Source organism: Homo sapiens, chromosome 12 (assembly GCF_000001405.40).
Source record: "Homo sapiens chromosome 12, GRCh38.p14 Primary Assembly".
In the NCBI taxonomy this organism is placed as follows: Eukaryota; Metazoa; Chordata; class Mammalia; order Primates; family Hominidae; genus Homo; species Homo sapiens.
Window position 1 is genome coordinate 2,369,894 of NC_000012.12, and position 14,575 is coordinate 2,384,468.

Genomic DNA, 14,575 nt, shown 5'->3' on the forward strand with positions numbered 1-14,575 from the left:
ATAGAAAACTTTTACCCACAGAAAAATTACAGAAAATTTTGGAAGGCAAACACACACTGGGAAAATGTTTATTAAAGTGGTAGACACGGGGTCAATATTGCTGCTGTATAAGGAGATCTTAGAAATCAATTAAAGAAACACATCCCCATTAGAAAATTTGGCAAAGGACGTGAACAGATTTATTCACAAAATATAAACTACAAACTGGTAAATACATTTTGATTTTTAAAATCAGCCTCACTAGTAAAATAGAAACATAAATTAAAAGAAGATGCTATTTTTCACTTAATAAAGTAACACAGATTAAAAAAATACATTAGCAATAGGTGTGGTAAAATGGGCTCTCATATACTATGATAGAAATAGAAAAAAGTTATAACCTTTCTGGAAACAATTTAGCAATGCATATCAAGGTCTTTGAAATGTTCATACCCTATTACCACTAATTTTCCATCTAGGAATTTGGGCTGAAAAATAATTAGACAAAGTTTTATATTTACGTATAATGATGTTCATTTCAGCTCATGTATAACAGCAAGAAAAGAGGAGAGAACCTAACATCAAAGGGGAATGTTTAAATGTGTTATAACTCATATGATGAGCTAATAAAACTTATGTTTTTGAAGCCAACAAGTTGAAATGCTCATTTCACATTAATAGCAGGATATAAAATATATGGACAGCATATGAATTTGAATAAAGTTTAAAAGGAAAATAAATATGCATAGTATCACATTTTTGTACAGTATAAAAATAAATTCAATAGTATCTTAATAAAAATTCTGGGCCAAAACTAATGAGATAAATTTAGTATTAGAAATGCTAAGTTATGGGCTCAGCCTCAAAAAATAGGAATGAAAGAGGACTAACTTAACTATTGCATTTATGAAAAGGATCGGGGGGATTTCACTGCCCCAGGCTTGGTGTTGTGATTGTAGTCGAAGCTGACCTGGGTTGCCTTGGTGGCAGTCTGCGGTGTCCAGGTGGGGAGGGGGCAGTCCCTATGCTCTGTACAGTCAGGCTCGTCTGCTCTCCAAGTTTAAAGAGAAGCAAGGTGTGTCCTCCTCTCATGTTGGTCACATTCAGTGAGGGACCCCAGGGGAACCATCTGGAAACTGTTACATAAGGAACTGCAGAAGGATCTAGGGATGTTTTACCTGGAAACAAGGATATTTAGGGGCAATGGAATAGCTGATTTCACATACATAAAGGGCTACATGAGGCTGAAAAATCAGACTAATTCTGAGTAGCTTCAGGAAGCAGAACTAGATTTTGGGTAGGAGTGAAAGGGAGAGGCAGGTTTTAGAGCCATGTAAGGTGTAGTCAGGTGTTCATCTTGCAAAATGGTGAGCTCACCAGGACACAAAGCATCCTTGAGGAGTGAAGATGAGAGGCTTCATCGGGCAGAAGTTGGAATAGAAGGCATCAAAAGACCCAGCCGTAGGATTTCTGCAGTCCCATCATTGACTGACTGGAGGCCCAGGTGGGCAGAAAGAAGGCGTTGAAGGGGCATAGACTCCTTTGGCCATTGGTTTTCAACCTTTGCTTTACAACACAAGCACCTGAGGAGCTTGTTAAAACAGTGCTGGACCCCACCTCCATAGTTTCTGATTCCGCAGGTCTCAGGTGAGGACCTGAGAATTTGCATTTCTGACAAGCTCTCAAGTGATGTTGCTGCTGCTACCACTGGTGCTCCAGGAATCACACTTTGAGAACCATCTCCTTAGGTCAAGAGCAAGAAATAAGGAGATATTCTTAAGCCCGATGGTACAGAGACCTAGAAAAAAAATATGGCACACAGGAAGCAAGCACATACTAAATGACATATGGCTTTTTTTTTTTTTTTTTTTTTTAATCTCGGACTCTTGGACAATAGTGTTGAAACTTGTGGAATTAAATCACAGACTGGAGGCCGTTCTTTCCAGATCCACATTTCTACCTGGATGATGGGCTCTGTCACCAGGCCAAAGAAATTGATGTTGAGTATTAAAAGCCTCTAAGGGGAGCGGATGCTGCAATTTTCTTCCTTCCCCTCTTAGATGTTCCTAGATGGTGGGGAAGTTCATTGTCACTTAGAAATTCATGAAGGAAATAGAATATTGCTCATGGACTTCAGAATGGCCCATAATTAGCTCTTTTGGGTTTTGTTTTGTTGGTTGGTTGTTTATCATTTGTTGTTTTACTGGACCTTGGAAGGAGTCTTCCTCAGTGAAACCCCTCGTTATAAGAACAGATAGTATATGATGTAGACAACCACAGATGGGACCCCCAAGTTTGATGATGTCCTCAGTGTCCTGCAGTTATTCCAACAAAGATGCACAATTCCCGTCGTCATCTCCATTCAAAGTAAGGCTCATTTATTTGAGCTTTCAGCTGATTGGTTTAGGAAGAGAACTGTGTACAGCCTCCCCCACATCTCCCCACCCCTTGCTGCTCTCTTCCTGAGCTCACTATGTCAGTGTGAGCAGACTGTGCGCCTAACACACCGGAGTCTGTTGCCATGACGCTGGGGAGAAATCTGGTTCCTATAGCAACATCAGGTTGACTCGTTGCACCTTATGACACAGGCAGATCTCCAGCAGGGGCTTCTTTGATCTCCAGTTAATCCAGGAGAGATGGACACATGTAGTACTGGAAAATATTACATTTTCCCACAACCCACCTAATCCTGCCTGCCTGCCTTTCATCCTCCACATTACCAAAATAATAATAATAAATAAATCCGCATTCCCTTTTTTTTTTTGGCAACCTGAAAAAATAAAGCAATGGATCACTTTAATGTTCTCAGCAGATTAAAACATAGTTTGAGGGTCAATCCCTATCGCCTCCCTTTCCAAGGCCCATCCATCCGTTAGCCTGCCCCCTGGCATGTTCCTTGAGGCCTGTCCATCTGGCCTGGCTGGCTGGTGAGAAGTCCTGTCAGCCTCAGGGGTCCGGGGACATGCCAGTAGTGCAATGGCAGCTCCCTGGGCAGGCCTAAGAGGCCAGGGGCTCGTTAGCAATGGTAGCAGATGGATGCGGGGGCAGCCCCAGGAGAGGCCAGCAAGTCCGGTGCCGAGAAGCTCCTTGACTCACCATCCAAAGGAATGCACGGTGTTGGCTTCTGTATGTCACAAAGTGGGCAGCCAGCCTGGGGCACTCGGCACATTCCTGGTCTGGTCTGTGGCGGGAGAAGTGACAAGGAACTGGATCGTTACTGACAGGAAAGCATCTCGTTGTTCTTTAAAGAGACTTTCAGCGAAGGAGGATCCATGATTTTCCCCAACCCTTCATTTGAGTGCCTTTCAGCCTTCCTTGGGGAAAACATCCATATGTTTTCTACTTATATTACTTACTTGTCACCCCTCATTCATTCAGCAAATGCTCACTGAGCTTCTCCATGTGGCAGGCTCCGTTCTAGACCCTGAGCACTGAATAACACGAACGGGGTTTCTCCTCTCCTGGCACCTACATTCTCATGGGGGAGACAGATAATAAGTAAAGAAAATGTCAGGAACATGAATATACAATGGGGAGTTTTGGGGGAGGCTGCAAAGTGAGTGGTCGGCAGAGGTCTCCTGAGGTGACACTGAGGCCCGACTGCCCTGAGGAGCCTGCCCTGGGACAAGCTAGAGAGAGGGTGTCCCAGGCAGCATGCAGAGGCCAGCATGGAGCGCTCTGAACTGGGCAGAGCAATGGGGCAGGAGTTTGGCGTGGATTCAGGGGCCGCAGCTGTAGGGCTTGTGAGCCAGGGGAGAGATTGGATTTTAAGTGATAGATATGGGAACCATTGAAAGTATTTCAGAAGGGAAACAACAGAATTATATTCGTATTTATGAGTTTGCTCCAGCTGCCTTAACAAACCCTCTTCAAGCCCATTTTCCTTTTGCCTTTCCATTAGTGGCGATTAAAAAAAGATATTTGCCACCCTTCTTAGGCTTGAAGGTGATCTGCAAGTCAAACCTCATGCTTTTCTCCAGTATCAGTAAGCTCAGTCCCATTTTTCCTCTCTTGTGCATGACGAACTTTGTTATGCCAGCCTTCAAGGGATATTCCGAATTCCTTTTTCTTAGAATTCTAGAGCCAGCGGGGGCCTTACAGATCACTGGGTCCAGTCCTTATTTTACAGATGAGGAAACTTGGTTGCCACAGTGGTCAAGGGACCTGGCCCACATCACAACTCCGCTAGCCAGGGCTGGGCCTCTGGTGCTAGAACCCAGCACCCTCTTCCGCCCCACAACTAGTAGACAGTAGACTAGTAGTCTTCCCACGTGCACGTTTACTTACCAGTGCTCATTATTTCTTCTCTTCCTTTTCTGATTCATCTCTCTGCCTTCCTCTGGTCCTGTCATTCTTCCCTGGTATGCTGGAATTTTTTAGTAATGGACTGTTGATTGCAGTATGTGGGAAATTTGGCCATAAGTTTTGGTTCTATGTGGTTTTTTATTGTGGTGGCAATTGTTTTTGCCATTTTCTGCTTTGGTGTTATTTGTGGCTCCCATTGGGGCCTCCCTAAGCCCTGCTTATTTTCCCATGACTGGGGACTGGGTGTTATTGTTCGTAACTCAATATTCCAGCCATGGCATTCAAGGCCACCAACCCTCTGCCTGTCTCAATAGCATATCACAGCCCACGCCACATTGGCCTTCCGTGGGCCAGGCCTCAGGGTGGGAACTCAGCCAGGGTGGTTTTCCTACTCTGAGGCATTGGTAGAGCGGTCAGGGCTCCCTGCTGGCTTACACCCACATAGCAGCTCCTAACTCCACAGTTTGTCTTCCCCTCTTCTGTCCACTCCAGCTCAGGGCCCCTTAGCCATTCACTCAGCAGACAAAGAATACTAATAGTAGGTGATAACCACTGCTGCAGGGATGACACATTAGCATTAGGTGACAAATAAACCATCTCCAGTCAACATTATCCCTGCTGCATCCAACCAGCACAGCCGGGAAAGCAAACAATGAGGCAGAAGCGCGTTTCCTCACTCTGAAAGGCATGCATGCACTGGAAGTTGGGTTCATTGGAGAGCAGGGTGGCTTCACATCGGGATCTGTGGCAGGACAGCCTCAGAGCTTGGCAGTGTTGTCTGGGAACTGGGCAATATCAATAATAAGGTGCTTCCAGTGACAGTCTACGTCTTCATCTTTACAAAAGCTTTCAGAGATAAGATTATTGCTCCAGTTTTCAGATGGGGAACAAAATGAGACAGGATTAGTGATTCTTTCAAGGTCAGCAGGCTGGGGAAAGTCAGGGTTGGAACATGAACCCAGTGCAGGGCGCACTTCTCACACACTGCCCTTCTCTCTGGGCAGCAGATGTGCATGTGCTGAGCGGCTGCCAAGGAGACAGGATGGTTGAGACTCTGCAGAAGAAGGGCTGGCATCTTCCCTGTGCTGCCTCAGTGGGACAGGTTGGGCTGAGATCTGCAAGGTACAAGCAGGGCTTGCTTGGGGTTCTGATGAGAATGATGCCCAGTGAATGATGCCCGGTGTCGTGGCTCAGCAGAACAGGCCTGGCATGAGGCTCAGGAGATGCGTTTCCTGGGTCTGGCCCACCTTCGGCTCCTGTGGCACTGGGAGTACTCTTAAGTCTTAGCTCTCTGAACACCAAGTGAAGGAGTTAGCCTGGAGGTCCCCAACGTTACACTCACTGATACCATTCTATGATTTACAAAGCTCTTCCTTGATGATCAGATGTTTCTTTTCCGAGGTATTTCAACTTCCCATTTATAGTTAGTATTGAAGTGCCACCTGTGGGTTTTCCAGGCCGCTGTCTCTTTTCTTTATACATCATACCCTAAGGATGCTTATTATTGCTGCTGTTGTTAAATCAAGTCCTTGTCTTAGTATATGTATCTTAACATATTGAGTTAGAGACAGTGCCTAACTTGACAATTCTGACAGTGTTGATATAATCCATGGAGAGTCTTTAGCCCACTGGTTCTGCCCAGAGCTCACTGGTAACTCAGGCTCTCTGCATGGCAAAGTGGAAGACGTTGACCACACCACTTGATTGGGAGCTGTCTTCCTTCCCTGGGATGAAACCAGTCAGGACCTTCTCACATGGGAGGAGTATCAAAGACTAAACCAACCTAGAAACAGTCCAAGAAGAACCAAACAACGAAGCAAGCAAATCAAAACAGGGGAAGAGGACAAGCAGGGCCCCAGGCAGTTTGGCTGGTGCCCAGCACAGGGCCTGGCACTAACAAGTGTTTGAGAAACATTGAGTGAAATGACATGGTTGCTCAGTAGAAGGAGCAGCCATGCTCAAGGCCAGAGTCGCCCCTTCAGTCTCAGCCATTGCTTGGGGAAGTGGTCTGTTTTTGCCATTAGAGAACACACTGCCATGGAGGACACTCTAGATCAGAAGTCCAGGTCGGAGTCATGGCTTTGTGACCTCCTGTGTGGCTTTGGGCAAGCCACTAAACTCTGAGCCTCTGTATGTGAGGACAAGCGCCCATTCTTCTTCTTATTGCAGAGTCCTCATAAACTACAACTGGATGATGCCCCCTGAGTACCTGTGCTTGAGGAGGGGGGCAAATAGCACCGAGATGGTGTCTTACCCACCTTTGTATCCCCAGCATGTGGCACAGAGCCCTCACTCATTAGGTTCTCAGCAAAGATGAGTGGGTGTTCGGATGGATGCACAGCTTAGGCGGACAGGTGGACGAATAAATGTGCAAGGAAGGTTCTGGGAGCTGCTGGCGGCAAACTTTGCTTGCTTCCCAAGGATTGTCCTACCTTTCTGTAATAGGCTAGGGGGCTGTGAGCTGCAGTATATTTCTGCTCACAGGAGCCCTTTCCCTTGGGGAGCTATGTGGAGGGCAAGACCACCCCAAGAACCCCAACATGAAACCTTAACTGGGATTCTGCTGCTCTAGGCTAAGCAATCCTACATTCTTGACTAGAAGAGTGTGTCTTAGGCATACATTGCTGCACAGAAAACCCCCCACCTCCTCCCTGCTTCACAGAGATGGGGTGAAAGATGGTGGTGCCCTAAGAATGCAGAACCCCTGCGCCACACAAAGCATGCTCGCTACGCCCACTAGCTGGCCAGGAATGGTAGGAATCGCAGGGACCATGATCAGGCCTTTTCTGCTGGGGCCACCTGCTGCTGCTGTTGTCACGTTCTGTGCTCTGCCGCCATCCTCTGCGGGGGTGGAGCCAGCATCTTGGCAGCCCCAGGGTAATAATTAGGGGAGGGGCAGCTCCCCAGCTGGCGTGGTATTTGAGGAGGGGCCTGGAGGAGAAGGAAGGGCTGGGACACGGCCAACAAAAGGAGAAATTAAATGGGCTGTCCTGGGAGCCCATAGTTAGCATTTAAACACCAGCATGAGCTGTGGGTTTCACTGAGCAGGGCTGTGTGTGGCCTCAATGCCCTCCTCTCCCGGCCCCCGTTCTGTTTGTGAGCACAAGCTGGGAGGACTCTCAGCAGAGCCCTAAGAGGTGATGTTGTCATGCCGAAGCCCAGGATTCAGGGGCTTTCATGCAGTGCAAGGACAAACATGGCGAACACCACATGCACCCAGCTGCAACAGCGCTGCACCCCTGACCTACTCACAGCCCTCAAGGAACTCACCGACCAGCCTAGCCTTACAGCGGCTATCACAGGTGTGCTGGGCCCCTGACGTCGAGGGATTTAGGGTTTTGTTTTATTTGCTGTCAGCATGGTTCGCGTTGCAATTTCGATTGTGGGAAGACAGCCAGGAAATACTAAAGAAACACCCCATACCTCCTTCACCACAGCCACAGGTACTGAGCATTGAGCACACGTTATATGTTCTTTATCTCCTCCAGTCTGCACTGCTCACTTAAAAGGTGGGGCGTATTATCCCCGTTTCACAGCTGAGTAAAGTGAGGTTCACAAGAATGTTGTGGCTGGCCCAAGTTCACACAGCTAATGAGGAGGGGAAAGGATGCCAAGTGAGTCCGCCTGGCTCCTGGAGCTCCTTCTGCTTCTCCATGATTTCTGAAGAACACACGAGGCCTCCCTGTGTCCTGTGGGAGAATTCACTGTCTCTACTACGTGGGAAAATGTGAAAGAAGGTAGGCCTGAGTGCTCCCGTAAGCTTTGGGGAATGAGAGCTGAGTGAATTGGCCTTACTAAGTGATCTGGCAGTAATCTGGTGGTCTTGAGCCTAGAAGAGGGTTGGGGTGAGTGTGAAGAGTATGATCCCCCGCAGAGCCGAGTCATGACTTCTCTTCTGCCAGGAGCTCACTGGACTCCCATACCCTTCTTTGGACTTTAGTTTCTTCCAGTAATAATGATTATAAAGTCTAGAAATAATACGATTAACAACCACAACTGAGTAAATACTTGGGAATTAGTGAAGTGCTAGGTCTTGTGAGCAGATTCTAGAGGTAGAAACAGCCCCAGAAACACAAGCTAGAAAAAGAGGAACAGCTTCCAGGAGAGTTCCAGGCATCCTAAGGGAAGCACGGGCCTCTGCATGTGGATGGGTTCGAATGCCAGATTCCAGCACCCCTCTATGGCCTCTGCAATCTGCAGTCTTTTAAAACTGTTTTTACATTAGAACATCACAGGGTTGGACTGTGCCGCCACAAAAGCGCCTGTCTTCATTACCCATGATTCCTCAAATCATCAAACGTAAGCACATAGATGCCAACCAGTGTCTACGGGGTGTACCAAGCACAGGCCCATGGGAGCCATCTACCCTGTGCGGGCAAGAGGGGAGCAGTTGTCTATGGGAAATTTAAAAACAATCATAAAATTCACAGAAAGATGGTCTACTTTGTATTGTCATCATGGCCTGGCCATTCTAAATAAGGTCGGGGATAAAATACTCCCCGTGGGGGAAGAGTGTTCCCTCACCACTTCACAGGCTACTAAATCTTCATTGCTCTCGGCCATTGCTTGGTTGTCCTTGTTCTTTTTGTTTGTTTATTTGGGTCCTTCCTTCCTTCCTTCCTTCCTTCCTTCCTTCCTTCCTCTCTCTCTTTCCTTCTTTTTTTCTTTCCTTTTCTTTTCTTTCCTTTCTTTGCCAATAGGCCACCGTAGTCAGTTTCATGTGTCTTCCTGGTCAATCCCATGTTTACTGCACAAATTTAGGTTTCTTTTTTGTGGTCGCATTTAGGAAACTACCTAGAGAATAGTGAGAAACCACAGGAGGGAAGGAGAACAGCGAGAAAAATACTGTTTTCTTTTTGTTGTTTACTCATAAATGTCACAGAAATATTTCAGTTCCTTTTTGGTTTTGATAAGTGCTTTTTTAAACCAAGTCCTAAATCAAGGGCCTCTCTTGGCAATGTCCCTTTGACAGAACCGAGGGAGGGTGGCAGGGCAGGGAGGCACAAGCTGCAGAGGCACTTGTACTGTACAATTTTCTGGGTCCTGACTGATAAATTATTGTGCATCTTGTGCGTGCTCTGACATGCAGTACAATTTGTCCATGTAACGGTGATGATAGGCTGTCCCGGGCTAATAATCATGAACCCTTTATTTAGCTCCTTCAGCCTTTTAGAGAAATCTTAAGTAACCGTTCATATCCCTTTATCGGTTTTCTCTTCCACATTTTAGCATAAGTGGAAAAAGCTTTTAACCCTGAGAATTTTACTCACCCTGGGGCTGGGGACAAGGAAGAAGGCACGTTGTTAAAAGTGTACAGGAATTGGAGGATCTTGACGCTCCCGATAGAACAGCTTTTTCTTGGTCTGCCTCCTAGGAGTGTGAGGCTGTCTGGGTGGTAGAGATTGTCCAGTCCATCTCTCATTTTACTGGTGAGGAAGGGATGCAAGCCCTGAGACGTAAGTAACTGGCCCATGGTCACATGGCACAGTCATCTGGAAGTGACATTGAGCTTCCTTCACCCATTACAGAGAGCCTGCCATGATGCGGGACATAATAATATAAATAAAGACATGGCCGGGCGCGGTGGCTCACGCCTGTAATCCCAGCACTTTGGGAGGCCGAGGCGGGCGGATCACGAGGTCAGGAGATCGAGACCATCCCGGCTAAAACGGTGAAACCCCGTCTCTACTAAAAATACAAAAAATTAGCCGGGCGTAGTGGCGGGCGCCTGTAGTCCCAGCTACTTGGGAGGCTGAGGCAGGAGAATGGCGTGAACCCGGGAGGCGGAGCTTGCAGTGAGCCGAGATCCCGCCACTGCACTCCAGCCTGGGCGACAGAGCGAGACTCCGTCTCAAAAAAAAAAAAAAGACATAATATTACCAGCTCTCCTTTGGCACAGGTCCCCTGGTTCCCATCCCCACCCACGTGATGGTCAAGTCAGCTTAAGCACGTGTTCAACACTCTGCCCAAGTGGCTGGGTGTCCCTTGTATCCTTTTCTGTGTCCAAGTTATTGATGGTAGATTGTGTTCTCTGGAAGACAGATGTCGTCCTGGTGTGAATTGTTTCCTGTAGCATCTGTGTAGTCTAACCCTAACTTGCATGGTGCTTGCATGGCTATTTTTGGACTTGGCTTTGCAAGCTTTAACACGTGACGCTGCCTGTTTCTTTACAGGCACAATCTTGCAATTGAGGTGACTAAAAAGCAGTACCTGGACAATGGTATTAGGATTCAAATATAGCTTCTAAAAGATTGGAACGATAGCAAGAGGGCATGCAGGCATTCCATCTGTGTGTTTAGGTGGTAGCAAGGAGCATTCAGTTGCTCTCTGTCTGCAGCTGATGTTTTTCACCCCTCTGGGAGCCCGGTACTGACCTCTTCTGATAAACTGGGCTCTTAATAGGTTGGTTAGATTCCCAGTGTTCCCCCATCCCTCTTTCATCACATACACAAGGGGTTTGTCCAAGTGAGTATCACAAAGGTTGTTCTTGGCTTAAGGCTGGCACGAAAGGGCTCTGCCAGTGAGCAATGTTAGAATTAAAGACACAATAATACTAATTAACTTCCCCATGCCTGTGATCTCTGCATTTATTATTTGTGTAGAGATAAAGCCTTAAATAACATGACTGGCCTCTTTGGGGGCCCTGCTTGGGAGTGGGTGGGGGGCAATGTCCTCATTACAGCACGTAAGATGGATGGTGTCCTAAGGCAGAGGCACATCACCAAGGATCACCTACGGAAGGTGCAACCTCCTTCCCAGCTGGCCCGTGTGCTTTTTCCCAGCAGCACGTGGGATGGGGAGGGGGACTGAGGTGTGTGAAAGAAGAGAAGCAATTTCCAGGGATGTGGCCCTTTGCAAGGTCTCCACGTCCATGGCCATCTGCCTTCCAGGACCTGCTGTGAACTGTGCAGCAGACACACTCAAGCTGGCTGCCTGTGGTTGTGGGAAGTCCCTCACTCCTCTGTCCTCAGTTTTGTCATCTCTGAATGGAGGAAGGGAGGTTAGATCAGGCTTCCAAGAGTCCTTGAAGTTCCTGAAATTATATATAAAATGTGAATGTGTGTCAGGCATTTGTCAGGAGCTAAAAGGCCATTGCCTGTGATTCTCAGAGGTCCCTGAACCAAAGGCTAAGGGCCACCAAGTGAGATGCTCCCCAAGGATCCATCTTCCTCTTCCCGATTATGATTTTAGAACTTCCAAACCTAACGTGTGTTGTCAGCTCAGACAAACTCAGCATTCAGGTTGTAGAGACAGATGATGGATACTCGGTCAGAAATGCCCTATAAATTAGCTGCTTTAAAAGTATTGACCAAGTAGCCTTCCAGGAAAGTTCCCCAGATATGGTGGTTCTGGTGTTCCCACCTCATCTGCAACAGCCCTGGGAAGCCTGGCTCCTTGCCTCCAGGTTTTCCTCGATGTAAGGCCCTCCACCCCAGGACACTGTAGCAATCCTGGGGCTAACCCTGAAGACCATTTCCACTATTGGGCAGCCTTGGTGGTTTCCTTGTCGTAGAGAACTAACCCAGTTTCCCCAGACTGGCTACCTTCTCATCATCTCACCATCTCTAGCTTTCACTCAGATAGAATGATCTCAGAGCAATCGGCAGCATTTCTCATTTGGAATTTTACTAACAAATTAATAATAATGACTTTGACTATGGGGATGCTTAAGAAAATCTCCCAGTCCTTGGAGGTATCCTGGGAGAAGATAGAAACAACTCTGAGAATCAGAACATCTGGGAGGATTCTGCAGATGGATCCCAGGGACAGCCCAACAATCAGAGGGCCCTCCTTCAAAGCAAGTGCTGCCTCCAGCCTGGGGCAGACCCATCCCTCTCTGTGTCATTTGTTTTCCCAAACATTCCCTTCTTAAACTGGGGTTCATGAAGTCTATAGATGGAATTCCAGAGGGTTTATGAACTTGGAGAATAACTGGATCTTTATTATCACAGGCTTCTAGCCGAAATTTCTCACGGTATTCCTTCGCAAGTATAGACAACACACCACAATAGCATTAGCAGTTTCTGTTACTTTGTCCACCATTAGAAACCATGGATATTTTCTTATCACGTTAAGATGGTTGCAAATATCTCAAAAATATTGTTTGCTTTCAATACTACTTCAAAATTCTGGTAATCCACTAGATTTTGTTATTTAACATATTATCAAAGAAGCATGCATATTTGTGTATTACAAAATTGTCTTTAAATATTTTTGATATCTATATTTCAACATAACTGGCTTTATTTGCAATCCTTTATTTCCATTTAAGAACATTATTCTGAGAAGGACCTACAGCCATCATGAGAACCACCAAAGGCAGCCACAGCACAAGAAGCTTACAGACTTCTCTAAATTGGCAATTCACATTTCAATCCTGTGCTGCTTGTGTCTGAATCATATCATAGGGGGAGCTCTGAGCTTATGTGAACATCGAGGCTGTGAGAGACAGAAAGGAGAGATGTAGGAGCCAACCTTGTGTGTGCTGAGATTCGAAACCAGTCATATATCCCATAAGCAAATGTTCCTGAACTGGCAAATCCCAGAATGTATTTTGCCCTGGGCACCCTTTACCTCCTCATTAAATAAGAAAATAACCCATGAGTATTTGAAAGGAACTTGCATCGATGTGGAACTGACTGACTTAGAATAGAGCTCATCCGAGATCTTGAGATGGGCTTATTGACACAACCGCCTTTCAGCTGTTCTTGAGAGTCCCACAGGATGGGGAAAGCCTTGGTATTAGTCACTGGGATCAGAGCTGGGAAGCTGCTTAGCTCTGGGCTCAGCAGGCTGGACCAAGGCCACTTGTAGGTAAGAGAGGCAGTGTTCCCTAATGCACTCTAGATCAGCTGGAACTAGTTTGTAATCCTGGATTCAAGTCCCAGCACTATCATTAATGAACTGTGTGATCCAGGCAAGTGGTTTATCAGCCTTCTCTTCCATAAAATGGGGTGCTGTGCTGTGTAGGTGTGCCTGGCTTGTAAGCACTAAACGAGTGTAGCTATTACTATGATCATATGCAAGCAGCACCTGTAGCATTTGGAAGGCTCAGGAAAAGAAGGGTGGGTGGGAGCAAAGGCAAACAAGAGCAGTGGAGACTAAAGCGGGTTGTCTCGTGGCGATGCTTAACCTAGGGGCCTGGAATTTCCCCCTTTGCCTGGTCTTACTGTCATTGGAATAATCGTAACCACTCCTGGGTGGTAAGAGATCAGCAACATAGCTGTAGTTCGTTGGGTGGCAGGAATGTGCCCTTTGTCCTTGGTTTCTAAGTAATGATGTCTTCATGTCCGGTTGAGCGAGGGGTCAGCTTCAACCCTACGATAAACCAGTGGAGTTATAAATGGAAAGCCTGAATTCCCAGACAGAGGAGGCGATCCAATGAGACAGCAGAGTAAGTAGGGAATTTTCACTGCCTCGTCTGCAATGATAATGTGAATAGCAATAATAATCATCCTAAGAAAGGATTTTGTCTCAGAGCCAAGGCAAGGAAAAGAGCCTTTTCCCATGCCTTGCTGGGGAGAGCTGAACACTCAAACCACGTCAAAATAGAAGGAACCAAAAATACAGTGAAGTACCCTTTGCCCCAGTGAGAAGCCAGTGCAAGACAACGCCCTGCAGAATGGGCCAGAGGGCAGAAGAAGAGGCCAGGGCCCAGTCCTGAATTTGTCTGTTGGTTCTCACTTCCTCCTTTAATCATTTCAGAAGAGCTGTTAATGAGCAGGAAATCTAATTGATTAGCATTTCATCCTGGCTTCCCTTTCTGCCAAAGGTGCTAATGAGCAGGGAAATCACAGATCCTCCGGGTGCAAGGTACTTGAGAGGTTGTGAATGCATTTGCCACCCCTACATGGAGAACCTCATCTGAACCTCAGCAAACTGATAAGGACCACTCTGATTTTTAAAACCCTCCAGACAAGCTGCCTTCCTTCTGTGGATCACACACCACCCAGGTTAGCAGCAGTGCCACCAGAAACACTGTTGCACTCAAGTTTTCTCGCAGGTGACTCATCTGCATGCTCCTTGGCGGAGAATCGCGGGTTACTGTACTGTCTTTGTGTAAGAGTTCTTCATATTCTCGAAGATGTTTGTTACATCTTGTTTCTACTGTCTTTCCTCCAGGTTACACATTGTGCGTCTTTCACCCTTTCTGTGCAAGTTGTTCTTTCTGACCCTAATCACCTTATGTTGTTGGATCTTACTCCAAGTTCATCTACTTTGGTCGTGGATTCGGAACTGAGCCTAGAGTCCATGAAGGACTCTAGCAAGAATGAGCACAATTAGAGGTCTC

General features: G+C 46.7%; 1 protein-coding gene across 55 annotated transcripts in view, besides 2 other annotated features; it reads left to right on the forward strand.

The window, feature by feature from the left end:
• Window positions 1–14,575, forward strand: part of CACNA1C (calcium voltage-gated channel subunit alpha1 C) — a 727,171-nt gene that overhangs the window by 399,114 nt on the left and 313,482 nt on the right. The gene's annotated exons all lie outside the window — the stretch shown is intronic.
• Window positions 6,826–7,429: an enhancer, noted in NCBI's record as "H3K27ac-H3K4me1 hESC enhancer chr12:2485885-2486488 (GRCh37/hg19 assembly coordinates)". NCBI's record gives its function as "activates a minimal SCP1, AML or CMV promoter by ChIP-STARR-seq in primed H9 embryonic stem cells {active_cell/tissue: H9 hESC(primed)}" and the evidence as "EXISTENCE:reporter gene assay evidence [ECO:0000049][PMID:30033119]".
• Window positions 7,430–8,031: an enhancer, noted in NCBI's record as "H3K27ac-H3K4me1 hESC enhancer chr12:2486489-2487090 (GRCh37/hg19 assembly coordinates)". NCBI's record gives its function as "activates a minimal SCP1, AML or CMV promoter by ChIP-STARR-seq in naive H9 embryonic stem cells {active_cell/tissue: H9 hESC(naive)}" and the evidence as "EXISTENCE:reporter gene assay evidence [ECO:0000049][PMID:30033119]".